The following is an 18,602-nucleotide window of genomic DNA, read 5'->3' on the forward strand; positions in this document are numbered from 1 at the left end:
AACATACAACCTGGTTTAGAGAAAGGTCATTTTTACTTACATCTCTCATATAATAATGATGAGTAAATAAATTATACCCTTTATTCTCTCATCAGGTTGCACAGTCAGGCTAGGAATTTTGTATTAAAGAATGAACACATACAGGAAGTTCCTATAGTAAAAGTTTAATGAACAACATAAAATAATGAATTGAGTAGATATAAGGAACATGTTTTATTACACTAACCACAGTGTAAAGATGCACATGATGTTATATGAACAAAAATAATTTAAATCTTATGAATAGCTAAATAAATATTTAAATAGATAAATCAGTTTATCAGCATGGTCATAGTTATAGCAGAAGTGAGAGTCTTTGAAATGGCAGAATTCATGAAAGCGTGACCTGGTATATGAGTCAATAAGAATTGTTTCATGTTGGACCAGGTGTTATTCCTTCCTCCTTAATCTTTCTTGCAAGTTTGTTGATAAAGAGAGGGATCTCATGATTTCTGCTCTGACAACCTCCCAGGCACAAGGGCTGTATTTCTTCTCTGTCAGATAGAGAGTGATTCTTCGGAAGTATTTCTTCACAGCCAAGATGGAGTCCGCATTCATCAGGGGAGTTTCTCCCACCCTCTCCTCCTGCATCACACAGGCTTCCAAGTCATTCAGCTGCTGGTAGAGTTCGGTGCAGAATTTGTCTAGGAGGTCCTCATCCCAAGCAGCAGATGAATCTTTTGTGGTAAAGAGGTTGAAGATCTGCTGGATCAGCTCATGGAGGACAGAGATGGCTGGAGCCTTCTGGAACTGGTTGCCATCAAACTCCTCCTGGGGAAATCCAAAGTCATGTCTGTCCATCAGACAGGAGGAAGGAGAGATTCTGCTCATTTGTGCCAGGAGCATCAAGGTCCTCCTGTTATCCAGGCTGTGGGTCTCAGGGAGATCACAGCCCAGAGAGCAGCTTGACTTGCAGCTGAGCACCACCAGGGCCATCAGTAAAGCAAAGGGCGAGGCCATCATAGATATTGCAGATGCTTCTGGGCTTGCTGAGATGGGTGACTCTGAACCTTGGGCTCTAGGTTCTCTGAAGGCTTTGCTTCCTGCAGATGCCTTAAATAGGGAACATACTGATTTCCACTTTCTTAATGCTTCTGGACCACTTTCCATTTCTGTTTTTGCTTTCCTTCTTGAACTCTTTACATGAGTTTAGAGCCGTGTTTCTCAACCATTTTGTTTTTCATTATTGTCTCCCCCATCTTGTTCCCAGAGACTTTTTAGATTTTTTTTCCTAATTGAACCCACCGTGAAAATTTAATAACACAGATATAATATCTATCTATTTGTGTACTATATGTATATCTCTATACTCAAAAAGTACAAAGTTTAATCATTTTATTCAATGCAAGTTTAAAAATAACCAAATGAAAATTTTAAGATAAAAGTTAAATTTAAACGCTATTCAAATTTAACTTAACTTTATAACTAAATTTGCTTGTGGGCTTCAATATAGTTTATTTACTGATATAAATTGTAATGTATTAAATTACATAAGAAATTTAACAAATTATAAACATTATCTAATGTTTCTAGATAAACATTATACAGCTAAGTAATGAATGTTTATGAATTATTTGAAACTGATAAAGACTTAATAATTTAAAATATTTTTATCATTTATTTTTATTATACTTAACTTTTAATTTTGTTGCATGTGAGAAAATTTTTAACTTCACTAGCTGCTAGATACTCACCTAGAGAGTGTGAAGAATTTTTTCTTCAATTCTTGACCTAAATATAGATGTGTTGAACAACTTCAGTAGAATTGTTAAAATATAAATTATTTATATTTCATTTCAAAGCCCACAACACAGACAGAAATGCTAAGGATCAAACATAAGCAATATCTATAAGATGGCCAGTGACAAACCATATGTATGCAGAGGACACCTCTCATGATATGACTTTGAGATCTAATACATCTTGGAAAGTACTCCAATCACAGCTACCCATTTGCCATAGGTTTGTAATGCTGAACTTTTATACCTTTTGTGTATCTTCCATGAACTCAATGTCAGTGCTTCTCATGTGATACACAAGAAAACCCAATGGAGAGAAAAAAAAAAAAACTAAGGAATAAGATTTTGTTAAATAGGTTGAGCTTTGAAGGGCCACAAACCATTTAAATATGTAAGATTTGTTCCCACTCCCAAGAACTAACTTCTACATCCTTGGGAGTAGTATCATATGCAATGAGAATACACAATTGAAAAAACATCCTCGATTTGATTAAAAATTTTTTGCATGAAAGTTCAAATTTCCAAGGTGCCTTCAGAGGTTCTTTGCTGATTCCTAGCAAACTAAAGGAAACTATCTTTGTCCTAGATGCGCATAATAGGATGTAAATATAATAACATAAATAAGTAGACAATTGTTTTACATAGCATGCCAGACACCAGATATCTTTCTTTCTCATTTCATTTTCATAGAAAGCAAAAGTTGTCACTTTTTGCATCCTAACTAATGGGAACAAAAAGATAACACAAGTGGCCGGGCGTCGTGGCTCACATGTGTAATGCCAGCACTTTGAGAGGCCGAGGCAGACGGATCATCTGAGGTTGGGAGTTTGAGACCAGCCTGACCAACATAGTGGAGGTTAAGGGGTGGGAAAGAACAGAAGCAAAATAGTAGAAGGGATGTAGGTCAAGGTAACACGTAAGTATGGGCTGGAAGAAAAGTAATTACTCCTGGTCCACAGTGTGTTTTCAGATTTACCGAACCCCATCTTGCAAATATACCAACTGCAAGAGTTTATACACAAGAAAGAGAAATTTTTGAGAGTACAATATTCTCTCTGGAAAATGGGTCAGTGTTCATTGCACCAAGCTCTCCACTATTGGATAAGTAAACTTAGAAGGTCAGTTTTTTTCTTCTTATATTTCTAGTAAGAAACAAGAGAATTGATAATTTCAGAGGACACTTCCCTAACTTTTAATAGAGTTATATAATAAAGATAATGTTAATAAGAGAAATGAAATATCAGGCCGGGTGCGGTGGCTTACGCCTGTAATCCCAGCACTTTGGGAGGCCGAGCTGGGCAGATCACCTGAGGTCAGGAGTTTGAGACTAGCCTGACTAACATTTTGAAACACCGTCTCTACTAAAAATACAAAATTAGTCTGGTGTGGTGGCACATGCCTGTAATCCCAGCTGAAGCAGAAGAATTGCTTAAACCCAGGAGGTGGAGGTTGCAGTGAGCTGAGATCATGCCTTTGCACTCCACTTGCACCCCAGCCCAGGCAACAAGATTGAAATTCCGTCTTAAAAAAAGAAGGAATGAAATATCTAAATTGTGGAAAGTCTTTATTTATTTTCAGTCAGACACTGTTTTTAGCACTTGCATAATCAATGCTTACTTAATCAATAAAGAATATCCATTTTTCATATTTACTGAACGTCTACCATGTACCTAGCCCCATTTATTCACTAGATATATCACTGACCAAAGCACACAGTGATAGATTTTACTATTATCCCCATATGCAAAAGAAAAAAAATGAAATCCCAGGGAGCTATTAAGTTGTGGAGCCACAGTTTGGATGGAGAAAATTCAGCTCTGAAGTCTTACTTCTTACATGCTCTCTGGGACTATTTCTGGACAAAAGAACCAGAGCTGATTTCTAGGACAATCAATGTTTTCCTAGTAGAGTCCTTACTATGTAATGACAGGGTCTTTCTCTTCAGTTTCCATTTGTCTTCTTCATTGAAATGCCCCATTTGTCCATGCCAACATGTTACATTACAATTAAATTGGGCCCCACTTTACTTTCACATTATATTCTAGTTTTGTCTTCTTGAGGATACACCATCATAAGCATGAACATATTTGTAAAACATATTGTTCACCCCAGTGAATATATTCATCAACCCTTTATATTTCTGTCAATTTAAAATTCTACATAGTACTATTCTTTTAATCAAATATCCACAATACTTTAGATTTCCCCATGTGTAGCACAAATTTAAGAAAGAACGAGTCACTGTCAGGCTAGAGACATGAACTAAATCAGAACTAAACCAAGGAACTAAGGCTCAGAGCTCAGGGAGAGCACACCTGGAAAGGTTGACTAAAGGGATTATTAAAGGTGTGGAAATGGAAACACTTCTAGAGAAATTAGGATAGTCCATGGCATTAGAGAATGAGGACTGAGATGACAAAAGACCCTGAGTCACCTGACTTGCCAGCTGGTTGATGCTTTTTATGTTGCAGGTCACCAGAGTGTGCTGCAGTGTTGATTGTACTGCCTTAATTTAAGGATCTGGTAAAGAAAAATTTATGCTGACACTTGGTATAACAGTAAAGAAGACTTATTCAGAAGTATTGCAACAGGCGTCAAAACTATCACAATAGGTGTATTAGTTCTTGCACTACTATACAGAAAAACCTGAGACTGGGTAACTTAGAAAGAAAAGAGGTTTAATTGGCTCATGATTCTGCAGACCATACAGGAAGCATGGCTACGGAGGCCTCAGGACACTTACAATCATGGCAGAAGGCTAAGGGGAAGCAGGCATGTCCTGCATGACTGGAGCAGGAGGAGAGAAGCAGGGGAGGTGCTGCACAATTTTAAACAACCAGATCTTGGAATAACTCACTCTTACCATGACACCACCAGGGGGATGGTGTTAAACCGTGAGGAACCGCCCTATGATCCAATCACCTCCCACCAGGCCCCGCCTCCAACACTGGAGATTACAATTCCATGTGAGATTTGGAAGGGGATGCTGACCCAAACCATATCAATAGGGGAGAGAGACCAATTGGTGCTCAGCTCAAAAATCAGCAAAGAGAGCCTGGGGTTTATACCCAACAAGCAGAATGAGGGGTCAGATAGAAAATCAGTAAAAGGAGACATCAAAGGCAGGGGGATCCTTCCTAAGCTGAACATAATTCTTTCTAAAGGCAAGCCAGGGTAATTACATATTGAGTGTGTGGGATGAACAATTTGATCATATATCAAGGGTAAATCAGCTATCAAGCGTGGAAGCATTCTCATAAAACTAACTTAGTAAGATTCCTGCTACAACTGGACTTGGCAGACCTAAGAATGGACCCAAAGGCACGAGCCAGTCAACGAGAGAGTTTGGAGGAGACTGACTAAAGTTTGGCAAAGGACAGAGTCATTGTCAGAACCTTAAGGGGTAAGAGACAGAACTGTCTGCTAAACAGTTACAAGGGAGATTAAATTTTATGTCTTTTGAAAACAATACCATTTAATGAAAGATTTTAATCAGTGAAATAAATATTTTTAAAATTTTAATCAGTAATGTTAAAAATTCTGGAAGCCGATTCATTTTTATCTTGTATTTCGAAACAATTCTAGACCTATAGAGAGTTGCAAAGATAGTACAGGGAGTTCTCTTCCCTTCACTCAGCTTCTCCTAATGTTAACAACTTACATAGCCATGAAACAATGATCAAAACTAAGAAATTAAAAGTGGTGCATTAATATTTGCTAAACTTGGCCAGTCACTGGTGGCTTACACCTGTAATCCCAGCACTTTGGGCGGCCAAGGCGGGTGGATCGAGGTCAAGAGATTGACACCATCCTGGCCAACACTATGAAACCTTGTCTCTACTAAAAATACAAAAATTAGCTGGGCTTGTTGGCTCCTGCCTGTCGTCCCAGCTACTCAGAGGCTGAGACAGGAGGATCGCTTGAACCCGGGAGACTGAGGTTGCAGTGAGCTGAGATCGCGCCGCTGACCTCCAGCCTCGGCGGCAGTGCGAGATTCCGTCTCGAAAAAAAAAAAAAAAAAAAAAGAAAAAACAAACAAAGAAAAAATTTGCTAAACTTCAGGCTTCATTGTGATTTCCTTAACTTTTTGACTGATGTCCTTTTTCTGATTTAAGATTCAATCCAGGGTCCCATATTACATTTCATTGTCACATCTCTTTATTCTCCTCTCATCTATAACATGGGCTGAGTCTTTCCTGACTTTCATGACCTGGGGACTATTAAAGAATATTGGTCAGTTACTTTGTAGGATGTTCCTCAATTTGGATGTGTGGAATTTTCTCATGGTTACATTATAGATTTAATGGATGAATACAATGGAGTACATGCTCATTACATCGAATAATATAGGAAGCATACAATATCAATAACTTATTGCTGCTGATATTAAATGAATCACTTGGTTAAGTTGTTGTCTGCCAGGTTTCTCCTATGTAAAATTACTATTTGTCCCTTTCCATACTGCTTGTGTCAGAAACATATCACGAATATGAGCCCACATTAAAGGGAGGATAATTACATAGAGAACAATGTATACAAGAATTTGTTGATGTATATTAAAACATCACAGTAATTTTTTTTCTCTTCTCTTTTTTTTATTATTATTATACTTTAAGTTTTAGGGTACATGTGCACAATGCGCAGGTTAGTTACATAGGTATACATGTTCCATGCGGGTGTGCAGCACCCATTAACTCGTCATTTAGCATTAGGTATATCTCCTAAAGCTATTCCTCCCCCCTCCCCCCACCCACCAACAGTCCCCAGAGTGTGATGTTCCCCTTCCTGTGTCCATGTGTTCTCATTGTTCAATTCCCACCTATGAGTGAGAATATGCGGTGTTTGGTTTTTTGTTCTTGTGATAGTTTACTGAGAATGAAGATTTCCAATTTCATCCATGTCCCTACAAAGGACATGAACTCATCCTTTTTTATGGCTGCATAGTATTCCATGGTGTATATGTGCCACATTTTCTTAATCCAGTCTATCATTGTTGGATATTTGGATTGGTTCCAAGTCTTTGCTATTGTGAATGGTGCCGCAATAAACATACATGTGCATGTGTCTTTATAGCAGCATGATTTATAGTCCTTTGGGTATATACCCAGTAATGGGATGGCTGCGTCAAATGGTATTTCCAGTTCTAGATCCCTGAGGAATCGCCACACTGACTTCCACAATGGTTGAACTAGTTTACAGTCCCACCAACGGTGTAAAATTGTTCCTATTTCTCCACATCCTCTCCAGCACCTGTTGTTTCCTGACTTTTTAATGATTGCCATTCTAACTGGTGTGAGATGGTATCTCATTGTGGTTTTGATTTGCATTTCTCTGATAGCCAGTGATGGTGAGCATTTTTCATGTGTTTTTTGGCTGCATAAATGTCTTCTTTTGAGAAGTGTCTGTTCATGTCCTTTGCCCACTTTTTGATGGGGTTGTTTGTTTTTTTCTTGTAAATTTGTTTGAGTTCATTGTAGATTCTGGATATTAGCCCTTTGTCAGATGAGTAGGTTGCAAAAGTTTTCTCCCATTCTGTAGGTTGCCTGTTCACTCTGATGGCAGTTTCTTTTGCTGTGCAGAAGCTCTTTAGTTTAATGAGATCCCATTTGTCAATTTTGGCTTTTGTTGCCATTGCTTTTGGTGTTTTAGACATGAAGTCCTTGCCCATGCCTATGTCCTGAATGGTATTGCCTAGGTTTTCTTCTAGGGTTTTTATGGTTTTAGGTCTAACATTTAAGTCTTTAATCCATCTTGAATTAATTTTTGTATAAGGTGTAAGGAAGGGATCCAGTTTCAGCTTTCTACATATGGCTAGCCAGTTTTCCCAGCACCATTTATGAAATAGGGAATCCTTTCCCCATTGCTTGTTTTTCTCAGGTTTGTCAAAGATCAGATAGTTGTAGACATGTGGCATTATTTCTGAGGGCTCTATTCTGTTCCATTGATCTATATCTCTGTTTTGGTACCAGTACCATGCTGTTTTGGTTACTGTAGCCTTGTAGTATAGTTTGAAGTCAGGTAGCATGATGCCTCCAGCTTTGTTCTTTTGGCTTAGGATTGACTTGGCGATGCGGGCTCTTTTTGGTGCTATATGAACTTTAAAGTAGTTTTTTCCAATTCTGTGAAGAAAGTCATTGGTAGCTTGATGGGGATGGCATTGAATCTATAAATTACCTCAAGCAGTATAATTTAAAAATCTTTTGGAGGGTGATACATTGAGGATATGCGTTCATCCTCAATTCCTTCAAAGTTTTGCTCACTTGTTTTATGATTTGCCTGTGAATCTTGCCTATTACAATTATTTTTCGGTGATATTCCATTTTTCTCATTGTTTCTATATTTATTATTCAAAATGTTTCTGAAAGAGTTGGCCCTCCTCTCCGATTTATGATTATCCACCCACTCATTTACTTATATCAGTATGAACTCATGGATATTTATTCTATTATTTGGGTTATAATCAAATACTATCACTATTTTGTTGCTCTACTTGTCCCAACTTTGGCTATTGGAAGCTCTTTCAGGTTGACTCCTCTGTGTTTTTGATGTGCACCTATAGTTTTTGTTTCTGGGCCCTTCCCTATCTTCTGATACCACAAGATACTCCAGAGTATCCTGGTACTTCCATGCCCTATACCTGGAATCATTTCTTTCTCCCAGAAGTCCTCATGCATTTTATTGGACATTGGTTAAATGCCAATTTAGCTGAGCAAATAATAAATGCTAAAAAATGAGAATATATCAATTTTTCAAAATTCTAATCCAGCATAATAAGGTTTATTCTAGCCTTACCATTTTGATTATTTGAAACTTCTTTTCCCAATTCTGAGATACCTGGCTTATATTATCCACAAGATTTTACTTATTTATTTAACCCTAGTAATTCATGTTAAGTAGTTCCAGAACAACTAACCAGAATCCCTGTGAGAAACCAATCTACCACCTAAAGCGTCATACCTATGTACAGCTCTTTCGTCTTCAGCCTTACACTCTGTAGTCACTAAATGGTTGGACAGAGTATTTGTCATTATCAAAAGGCTTTTGTCATATATTCATCACATTATTTTTTCATAGTCTCCATTCAACTTTGGTTTCTGTTGCCAATGTGGTTGATTTTTTAAAAATACATACAGTACAATTTACATCTTTTGTTGACTAGTTCCCCAGGTTTTAACCAGTGAATACAGGCACAGCTTATCTATCTTTACTTGAAGTTTTCTTGTAAGTTTAAAGCTGAACAAAACTTTCCACCAATTTATACCATGACAGTGCCTAAGCATGCAAGATCTGACGTTTCTCCTTTAGGTCGTTGTTAGTTGCATTGATGACCCTCTTGAGGTCAGTCTACTGTTTTAATTACCAACAAATATACATCGAATCTCACATATTCCCCAATTTGGAATTCTTGTTGTTCTCCCAGATGATGGAGCCCTCTGAAGGTCTTGTAGAGGATTCTGTGAAGAAGGTGGATTAGAAAACACCAGAACTCAGTCTCCCCATCTAGATAACAGTTGCAATGGCAAAATCTACCTGATATAACTATTTTGGAACTCTGGACTATATTTCAGGCTTGGAACTTCCAGGGGAAGTCTTGGATGGTAAATTGTGATTAATTTCAGTCAATTTTAGCTTTAATCACATTAGTATCAACAGATCCTCTACAGTTTTCCACACCTAGTCTCCATGGCAGGCAGCTGTGCCCATGTTCCAAGAGCAGCTTGCACTGAGCTGATGGGAGCCAGTGTTGGCAAAAAGCATACTTTCTCCAAATATCAGGGACCTGTGTCCTATTTTCTGGTTGCTGTTTTTGATCCCCTTTGTTGCAAGGCCCACCCTCCAGCTGAAGTGACTTCCAAGGTATGAAACAGCCAGCACCCTCCCCATCTCCTCCTTTATTTTTTTCCCCTTTTCGGCAACCGGGCATTAAAAACTAGGACATTCAAGGTGAAAGTTAGAGAGTGACTGCATATGTCTAGGGAAAGGTGCAGACTCAGAAACACCCTGAGAAGACCTTAAGATCATACCTCAGGACAATCTTTACACAGAGACAGCCTGCAACAATCAAATCAAGAACAAAATAATATCAACAATCACCAAAGACTGGGTAAGGGGTTAATCTTATTTCCAGAATTACTACATTATTAGATTTGAATGTCGAGTTTTCAACAATAAAAATAATCACAATTTTCTGTGTTAATAGTACATTAACACATAAAAATATGGCCCATTCAAAAAAAGGTCTCAGAAATCATACCTAAAAAAGATTTGATAGCAAATCTACAAGATAAAGACTTTGAAGTAACTCTTAAAGATGCTCAGAGAATTAAAGGAAGATGTGGAGAAAGTCTCAAAAATGATGCACAAACAAAATGAAATTATCAATAAAGAGATAGACAACCTATAAAGAAAACAAAAAAAAAATCTGGAGCTAAAAAGTGAAATAACTGAAATGAGCACTGAACATTTTATTAGAGGGATTTAAAGGCACATTGGAGTAGACAGAAGAAAGAATTAGTGAACTTGAAGATAGGACAATGAAATTATCACGTCTTAGAAACAAAACAAAAATGATTAAATAAATGACTCAAATCTAAAGGAACCATGTACACCATCCAGTGGACTTGAATGGGGAGAATCATCATGACCTGTGTCCCCAAATAATTGTAGTTTTCTTCTCATTGTTTAATCATATAATGGCTTTTGAATATATGTGTTAATGAGTAAGTTTTCATTGGCCATTTCCTCTTACTTTCATCCAGATTGCCAGGTATCAAATAGCTTGATGTCCTCCAAATGGCATGGTCCTGCAGTCCTTTCAGTCTATGAGAAATCGTGAACATAAGCTTTAGGATCTGTCCTTGATGTTATTTTCTTGTAGCTGCTGATTAGGCTACCAATACATTACCCAAAAAAATGCAAAATCAATGTTGGAAACATTGTTAATGATGTTCAGTAATAAAAATTACTGAAATAAGCACTGCTTCCTAATAAGACAAGAAAATACATGATAGTCATCCAAATAGAAAAGAAGAAAGTAAAACTTGTTTATGAAAAATGACTTCATCCTCTAGAAAATTCTTCAGATTCTTTAAAAAATATGCTAGAATTTACTAGTCAATTTATCCGAGTCAATATACAAAAATCAATAATATTTCTTTATATGCGCAACAATCAGAAATTTAATCTTTAGAATATAATTTATAATATTATGAAGCATTTAAAATACTTAGGAATAAATTTATAGGAAGACATATACATTGAAAACTATAAAATATTGCTGATAGAAAATAGATAAGACCTAAACAAATGGAGAGATATATTGAGCTAATGGATTAAAAGACTCAGTAATGTTAAGATATCAGTTATAATCACATTGATCTACAGATTCAATGCAGTATCAGTCAAAATTTCACCAGACTTTTTTCTGTAGAAATTGACAAACAGATTCTAATATTTATGTGGAAATGCAAAGGAACAAAAATAACCAAAATAACTCGAAAATGAAGAAAAATGTTGGAGATCTATAATCTCTAATTTTAGGACTTATATTACTAAAGTAATCAAGACAGTGAAGTATTAAAGAGAAACAAATGTATCAGTGAAAGAGACAATAGTTTGCACAAATAGAACCTACATATACTGTTTATTGATTCTCAACACAAGCACAAAAAGCATTCAATTTTTAAAAAGAAAAATTGAGTAAACAAGTAGTGCTGGGATACACATCTCTATAAAAATGATAAATCTTGACCCATATTTTACAGAATATACAAAAATTAAATTTTGAAATGTGCTCATTCCAGTATTTGTTCAGTTGTTTCCAGGAAATTTCCTCTTTTTAGCTCTGAAGAAAAAGCCGGTGGAAGGAGACAGACTTATACATAGAACAGAATTGGCCACTGTCTCTGGTCTTGGCAGGTAGGTGGCTCTCTCACAGTGTGAAGTTACCCTTGATACCCACAAAACCCAAAGAGATCAGGGAACTCAAGGCAAAGAAGAGCAGAGCTCCACATCTGAGAGAAACTACCCATGACTCTTGGAGCTCCACGAGGAAGACAGAACACCCCATGTAGTGGAGGGTCCGTGGCACTCTTTTTGCATGCTTCAAGGGGTCCTAGGTTTTTTTCAAGTGTCTCCTACATTCCCTTTTGTGGTATCCGGAACTTTGATGTTTCTGCCTAGTAATTTTCTGTCCACTGACCACCAAATTGAGGAGGCAGGGGCTTGAAGGGTAATGTATCGATGATAAAAGAGACCTAGATAGAAAATTGAAAGTGGCAGAAGGAAGGAAGTACAGAAATAAATGGAAGAACAAGTCTTAAAGGAGCCAGATTGGGAAGATCTTAAGCTTCCCAAAAAGGCCATTGAAGTTTCACTTTTCTTTTCAGCAAAAATTATGCCAGCAAGAAGGGAGGCAAACAGAGGGATCAAACATATAATTAAAAAGAGGTTTAGGTGTACCGAAGAAACTTCCCATGGGAGAAACAGGATTCCATTTTAAATCTCTTATCAGATTTCAACAAGAATAAACAGCTAATATTTCTAGCTTTTGAAATTGTTTTCTTTTTTTCCTTTTCTCTTTTAAAACAAAGGTATCTACCAAGTGACTCCAAACAGAAACCAATTAAGTCTTTTATGATTAACCAAGGATGCATAAGACATCTTCAAAGAAATGCAAAGATGCAACCCTCTCAGAATTCAAAGTCACCCCTAAATCACCCCTAAAAATAGCCAAAAGAAAGATTTAGACACTTTGTGAGCTAGCAACAGTCAATGACATGTAAGCTTGTCATGGGAGCCCCCAACATTTTTTTTGGCCACCTGCACATGCCGAAGTGTGTTGTACAGGCAGCAAGCCAAGCCAGGTTCTCTTGACACAATATGAGACAAACAGGGACACAATAGCTGTCTATGGAAGGGAAAAGATTAATAACAAATGGGTACTTTAAATCAAAACTACACAAGAATCACAATCCAAGCTAATAATTTTCTCCTGCTATCCTGAATTTGGAAAAAAAGAAAGAGAAATTTTTACCTTCCATTCTTGACCAGGCACTATAGGCAGAGATCCAGGAGAACAGACCTTGATACAAATTCTTACCTTTCTTTGCCAACTTTTTGCCAGCTGTCCCAGGACCTCATCAGTAGGTGAGTCAGTTGCTTCAGCCATCCCTTCCTCATCACCGGGACTATAGGGGCAGAAATGGTGTGATCTCTTTCCTTCCCATCATAAGGGTCATAGCTGACACCCGTTTAACAAAAGAAAGACAGGTTAACAAGAGAAAAGCAAAGCAAAGCATATTTATTTAATTATAGTTTTATGTGACATGGGAGCCTTCAGAATGAAGACCCAGAGTTACATAAAAAAATTCATTTTAATGCTTAAGTTCAATGAAGAATGGACAGCTGTGTAAAAAATGTGATTAGACAAAAAGGGCATCATCTAATGCTAATAGACTGAGTGCGGAAAGCCAGCAAGGTCTTTCTGGTCAGATTCTTCTTGACCTCTCCGTGCAGCATTCCTTCCTCCCTGGCATGGGGTAGAGATCCTTTTGGAATGGAGGTCTTATAACCTACAATTAAACAAGATAGTTCAGAGAATTTCTTTAGAGCCAGTTCTTACACAGAAAAGTAAGAGTAGTATTTTTAGGTTTTATGGCTTACTTTGGTGAAAAGGAGCCTTGGAAAAGGGGGTTTCTAGTTTTTATGGCTAACCTCTAGAGAACGAGGAGTGAGAAACAAGAGAGGAAAAAAAGATCAGAGAGAAAATTTGCTTCTGAGGCTGCTTCTGAGACCATCACTTTTGAGTATTGTTTTTTCTGATCCCCAACGAAAGTGAAGAATGGGATTCAAGAAAACAGGGGAAGAAGGAGGGAATTCTGCTAGGTATCAGAATCAGCCAGTACATATTATGTATATTTTACTTCAGTTTAGGGAAACAAACTGAATATATTATGAAATATATTACATATATTTCATAAGCTACCATTTCCTGACTAAATAAACAAATCAAACTTACCTTCGATGTGAAGGCTGACTATTTTTCAATTTACTCCAGAATGCTTCCAGGAATTCTGTTTTTTAGACTATCACATTCTCGAACGTAGTAGTTACTGAGTTTGAGGAGAGTGTTCAATATTCTGATAAATATGTATAAAATAAGAAAATAACCATATATCCATAAAATAAGAAAATGATAGCCATATATGTGTATGTATATATCAAGTTCTAGATATTCATATATAGATATATGATGTTGACTGTGTAGCTTGAGGAAAAGATTCAAGAGACCCCTCTGCAGTTGCAGGCTCTCACTCCCTGCTACCTCAGAAATTCACACACACTCCCTGGGAAATACCTCCATGAGAATATGGTACCAATTACAGGAATGCCTCTCAAATTCTACCAATATGGACACATTTAGATAAATAGACTTCACTGAGAATAATAATAATAATATTCTTTTATATTTCTTAGCTTCTGTGGGATTTTTCCCTTTTTCTAACTAGGTACAGTTTTTATTGCTGAGTTGAGGAGCTGTCAAGATTACTACCTAAAGTTACAGTAAGAAAATGTTGATTTGTTAAAGTTTGAACTCTGACATTAGGAATGAATCTGTGAAACTAAGATTGCACTGTCAAGAGTTTAATGCACTAAGAAACATGATATTTTTGTGAATAGTATTAAGTTCCAATCCAAACTGGCAGTTCTGTGTATCCCCAAGGATCCCAATATATGTGGAAGGGGTGATCCTAGGGAGCGTAGACTGGTCTACACAGTAGGCTGTGGGCAGGGAATACATGTTTCTCTGTCCCTATAACTGGAAATCCCAAGGAGTCCACGCCCTGACTTTAGCCAGAAACTCACTCTCTTTGTAATAGACCAAGGGTAAGGAAACATGCTTATGACAGCATGAGTATCTCTTCTGGCCAAGAAGTAGCCTTTTTGCAGCATGTGGATAAATCCCCAGAACTGGTAGAATTTCTTCATAGATCAGCAACCTGCCCCTCCAGTTTTGGTTGCTGCCCTTATCACTCTTGGCCCCAGGGGACTGTCTTCCCCTGAGAGGTTTGCAGGAGCCTACGTATAAACTGAATTCTGCTTTCTCTTTCCTTTTTGCTAAGCTACTGTTATGTCACATTTAATGGAGATTCTAGAAAACCCCCTTTGCATGTGTTTCTGTAAAACCTAGAAATTTTATTTCACTTCTGCTTTCTCCTTGTGGCATTCTGCTCTTTAGGGAAGCCATATGAAGCCAGAACCACAATAGAACAGAAAGCTGCTCTGTGTGAATGGGCAGGAAAGTCAAGAGAATGAATGACCAGGGTCCCATGGGAAATCCACCTCAGAGAGCAAGGAAACCCTGGTGATATGGAAATGCCTCCTGGAATGCTGAGAGCCAGGGAGGGAATGTGTCAGGTGCCTGAATCAGTAAATAAACATCACATGTCTTCTGCACGTCAATCTATATGTTTATTCTCCTGTCTCAGGTATTTATACAAGCCACCATTCCCCGACTGCATATAAATAGGACACTTCTTTGAAATGAGGAGTGACTGTTTTTCAACCACTCTACAGTTGCTGACAGAATCTAGTTTTTTTAGGCTGCTGCCATTGGCAGTCACTTACTGAAATGCAGGACACAGGTCCTAAGAATTTTATAGAAAGATAAATATTATCCTCATCTACAGCTGTATGAAGAAAATAGGGAAATACCTATCATATTTTAACTTCTTACTAGATAGGAGACACAGTGGTAGGTGCTTTAAAATGCATGTTTTTTCTAATATTCACAACTACATAAATATTTTAAACCCAATTTTTATGAGAAAAGTGAGGCTCAGTGAGAATAAGTGGGTTGATCAACACCACACATACATCCAAGCAGAATGAAATTTCAACGTTAAAGTCTTTAATGCAAATTATGAGTGATTTTGTCAGTTTGGTTTTCTGGATTTCTATTACAATTGCTAAATCTCCTTGTACTCGTGAATTATACACAACTCTTTGGTACTTTCTGAATTTCCATGGTTCGGGTTGTATTTTTAGCTGGTTTGACTAATTTTTTTCTTTCCCTTAAGTATGGAGGAAGAGATTCTCTGATCCAGTTTCCTAATTTAATTTGTGAAGGAAGTTTGTCAGTTTATATGTTTATGGTAATTTAGTTATTTTTGTATTCATGTAAGATTGTAATATTCATAAAATCCGGAAAAATTACCAAGGAGTATTATAAAAGATTTCTTATCATATCTGGCTCTACCGGAGAAATGCAGTCAAGTTGTAGTAAACTAGCATGACAATGGCGCAAGTTAAGTAACTTAATTAAAGCCAGTAATTGCAGTAACCATTATATTATCAATATTAATTGAATATTTTGATGAAAGATTGAATTAGTTATCTATTCCTGCCTAAATAATTAACAAAACTAGGCATCTTACTGATAGTCACAGTAGTATTAATTAAAACTGATAAATTACTATTGTAATTAAATATGCCGTGACTTAAAATAAATATATGAAATATATTAATGTCATTTGCCAGTACCTCAATTACATGAAATCTATTGAGAAAAATATACATTGCAAAAAAGGAAAAACTATGCCCAGAAAACATAACCCACATCCTTTCCTAATCCCATTTTATTTCTTTCTCCACTTCAGTTCACTAACTTATCTTATTTAAACTTCCTCCAATATGGCTTCTGTGTATTAACTTTACCCAATCAGTTCTCACTAAGGGTGCCAATGCCATCTATTTCCCAATTAGTAGGCAGTTTCAAGCCACACCTTGGGCAAATCGACTGAATCCTCTTCTCGGCACATTTATTTCCTTTTGTTTGTTTGTTATTTTGAGATGGGGTCACTCTCCCTCTGTCTCCCAGGCTCGAGTACAGTATTGTGATCATGGCTCACTGCAGCCTTGAACTCCTGGGCTGAAGCATTTATCTTCCTAAATACACTTTCATTATCTTTCTCTGCTGTTGCCTTCTAATGTACAGCCATTCCTTTGTGGCTGTGGATGTTTCCTTTGCGGCTTTTCTCTCCCCTCCCTTTAAAAGCGAAAGGTCCTCAGAATCATGTTTAAAACTTTTTCTCTCTCTACACTCTCTCCCAACACCATGACCTTCATTTCTTGGCTTTCTCTTATCACATATAAACCCCCAGCAATCGCATTCCTTGCAAATTGCAAACTTATATATCTAACTGGCAATGGACATTTTCTAATAGATGTATACTAGTCAATTTAAAGAGAATGTCTCTGTCTTATTTTTATTTCCTCACATGCCTCAATCTACCTTCTGCAGAGAGAAATCATCGGTTGTTCCTTCTTCTCTTCATACCATTTACCATAACTGATAATTAAGTATGATTACCATTTTTAGTTTTTTTCATACAAAAATCAAATACACAAGAGAGCAGAATTGTATTTGTTAGGTTCACCTTGTTATCTTGAGTACAACATACAACCTGGTTTACAGAAAGTTTATTTTTACTTATATCTTGAATATAATATTGATGGATAAATGAAGTGTACCAGTTATTCTGTAATCAGGTTGCACAATTAGGCTTGGAATTTCATTTTAAAGAATAAACAAGTACAAAAGTTTCCATAGCAAAAGTTCAATGAACAACACAAAATAAATTTACCAAATACAAAGAACATATTTTATTACATTAACCACTGTGCAAAGGTGCACATGACATAATATGAACAAAAATAAGTTGTTTTATAAATAGTTAAATAAATAATATTTTAAAAATATTTAAATAGATAATGGATCAGTCAGCATGGTCCTCTGTAAGGGACTAGTGCCTTAAGAGCTGAATACAATGTTGATTAATACTCCTAAAAACATTTGAAAAGATTTAAATCGTGTCATGGTCATAGCAGAAACATGAGTCTTTGAAATGGCAGATCATAAAAAGGTGAGCTGGCATACGAATCAATGAAAATCATTTCCATGTTGAACCAGTTTTCATTCCTTACTTCTTAAACTTTCTTGCAAGTTTGTTGACAAAGAAAAAGATCTCATGATTTCTGCTCTGACAACCTCCCAGGCACAAGGGCTGTATTTCTTCTCTTTCAGATAGAGAGTGATTCTTTGGAAGTATTTCCTCACAGCCAGAATGGAGTCCTCCTTCATCAGGGGAGTCTCTGTCACCCCCACCCCCTGTATCACACAGGCTTCCAGGTCATTCAGCTGCTGGTAGAGTTCAGTGTAGAATTTGTCTAGGAGGGTCTCATCCCAAGCAGCAGATGAGTCCTTTGTGCTGAAGAGATTGAAGATCTGCTGGATCATCTCATGGAGGACAGGGATGGTTTCAGCCTTTTGGAACTGGTTGCCAAACTCCTCCTGGGGAAATCCAAAGTCATGTCTGTCCTTCAAGCAGGAGAAAAGAGAGATTCTCCTCATCTGTGCCAGGAGCATCAAGGTCCTCCTGCTACCCAGGCTGTGGGTTTGAGGCAGATCACAGCCCACAGAGCAGCTTGACTTGCAGCTGAGCACCAGGAGGGCCACCAGTAAAGCAAAGGTCAAGGCCATTGTAGATGTTGCAGATGCTGCTAGACTGGTTGAAATGGGTGAGCCTAAACCTTAGGCTCCAGGTTCTCTGAAGACCTTGCTTTGTGCCTAGCCTTAAATAGGGAACATACTCGTTTACATTTTCCAAATGCCCCTGTGTTACTTTCTACTTCTCTTTTTGCTTTCTTTATGCACTCTTTACATGGGTTTTCAGCTGTTTTTCTCACCACATTTTTTTCATTATTGTTTCCTTCCTCTTTTACCCCAGAGCCTTTTTAGAAACTTTTTTCTGATTGAATCTC

At 37.2% G+C, this 18,602-nt stretch overlaps 2 protein-coding genes across 2 annotated transcripts, besides 1 other annotated feature; both read right to left on the minus strand.

Moving 5' to 3' along the window:
* Positions 1 to 363: 363 nt before the first annotated feature.
* On the minus strand, positions 364 to 1,049 carry IFNA13 (interferon alpha 13). Its single transcript, NM_006900.4, has one exon. It carries the CDS (start codon positions 1,000 to 1,002, stop codon positions 430 to 432), a length of 573 nt encoding a protein of 190 aa, NP_008831.3. The 5' UTR covers positions 1,003 to 1,049; the 3' UTR covers positions 364 to 429.
* Positions 14,783 to 15,082: an enhancer, noted in NCBI's record as "active region_28240". NCBI's record gives its function as "activates an Ori minimal core promoter by ATAC-STARR-seq in GM12878 lymphoblastoid cells {active_cell/tissue: GM12878}" and the evidence as "EXISTENCE:reporter gene assay evidence [ECO:0000049][PMID:35858748]".
* On the minus strand, positions 17,247 to 18,390 carry IFNA2 (interferon alpha 2). The gene has a single exon (NM_000605.4). The coding sequence runs from the start codon at positions 18,319 to 18,321 to the stop codon at positions 17,755 to 17,757; it is 567 nt and encodes a 188-aa protein (NP_000596.2). The 5' UTR covers positions 18,322 to 18,390; the 3' UTR covers positions 17,247 to 17,754.

Source organism: Homo sapiens, chromosome 9, assembly GCF_000001405.40.
Source record: "Homo sapiens chromosome 9, GRCh38.p14 Primary Assembly".
NCBI classification, from domain to species: Eukaryota; Metazoa; Chordata; class Mammalia; order Primates; family Hominidae; genus Homo; species Homo sapiens.

What these genes read in the sequence shown, in the direction of transcription:
- IFNA13 (NM_006900.4), bottom strand. Translation starts at nt 1,002, where the DNA reads ATGATGGCCTCGCCCTTTGCTTTACTGATGGCCCTGGTGGTGCTCAGC.
- IFNA2 (NM_000605.4), bottom strand. Translation starts at nt 18,321, where the DNA reads ATGGCCTTGACCTTTGCTTTACTGGTGGCCCTCCTGGTGCTCAGCTGC.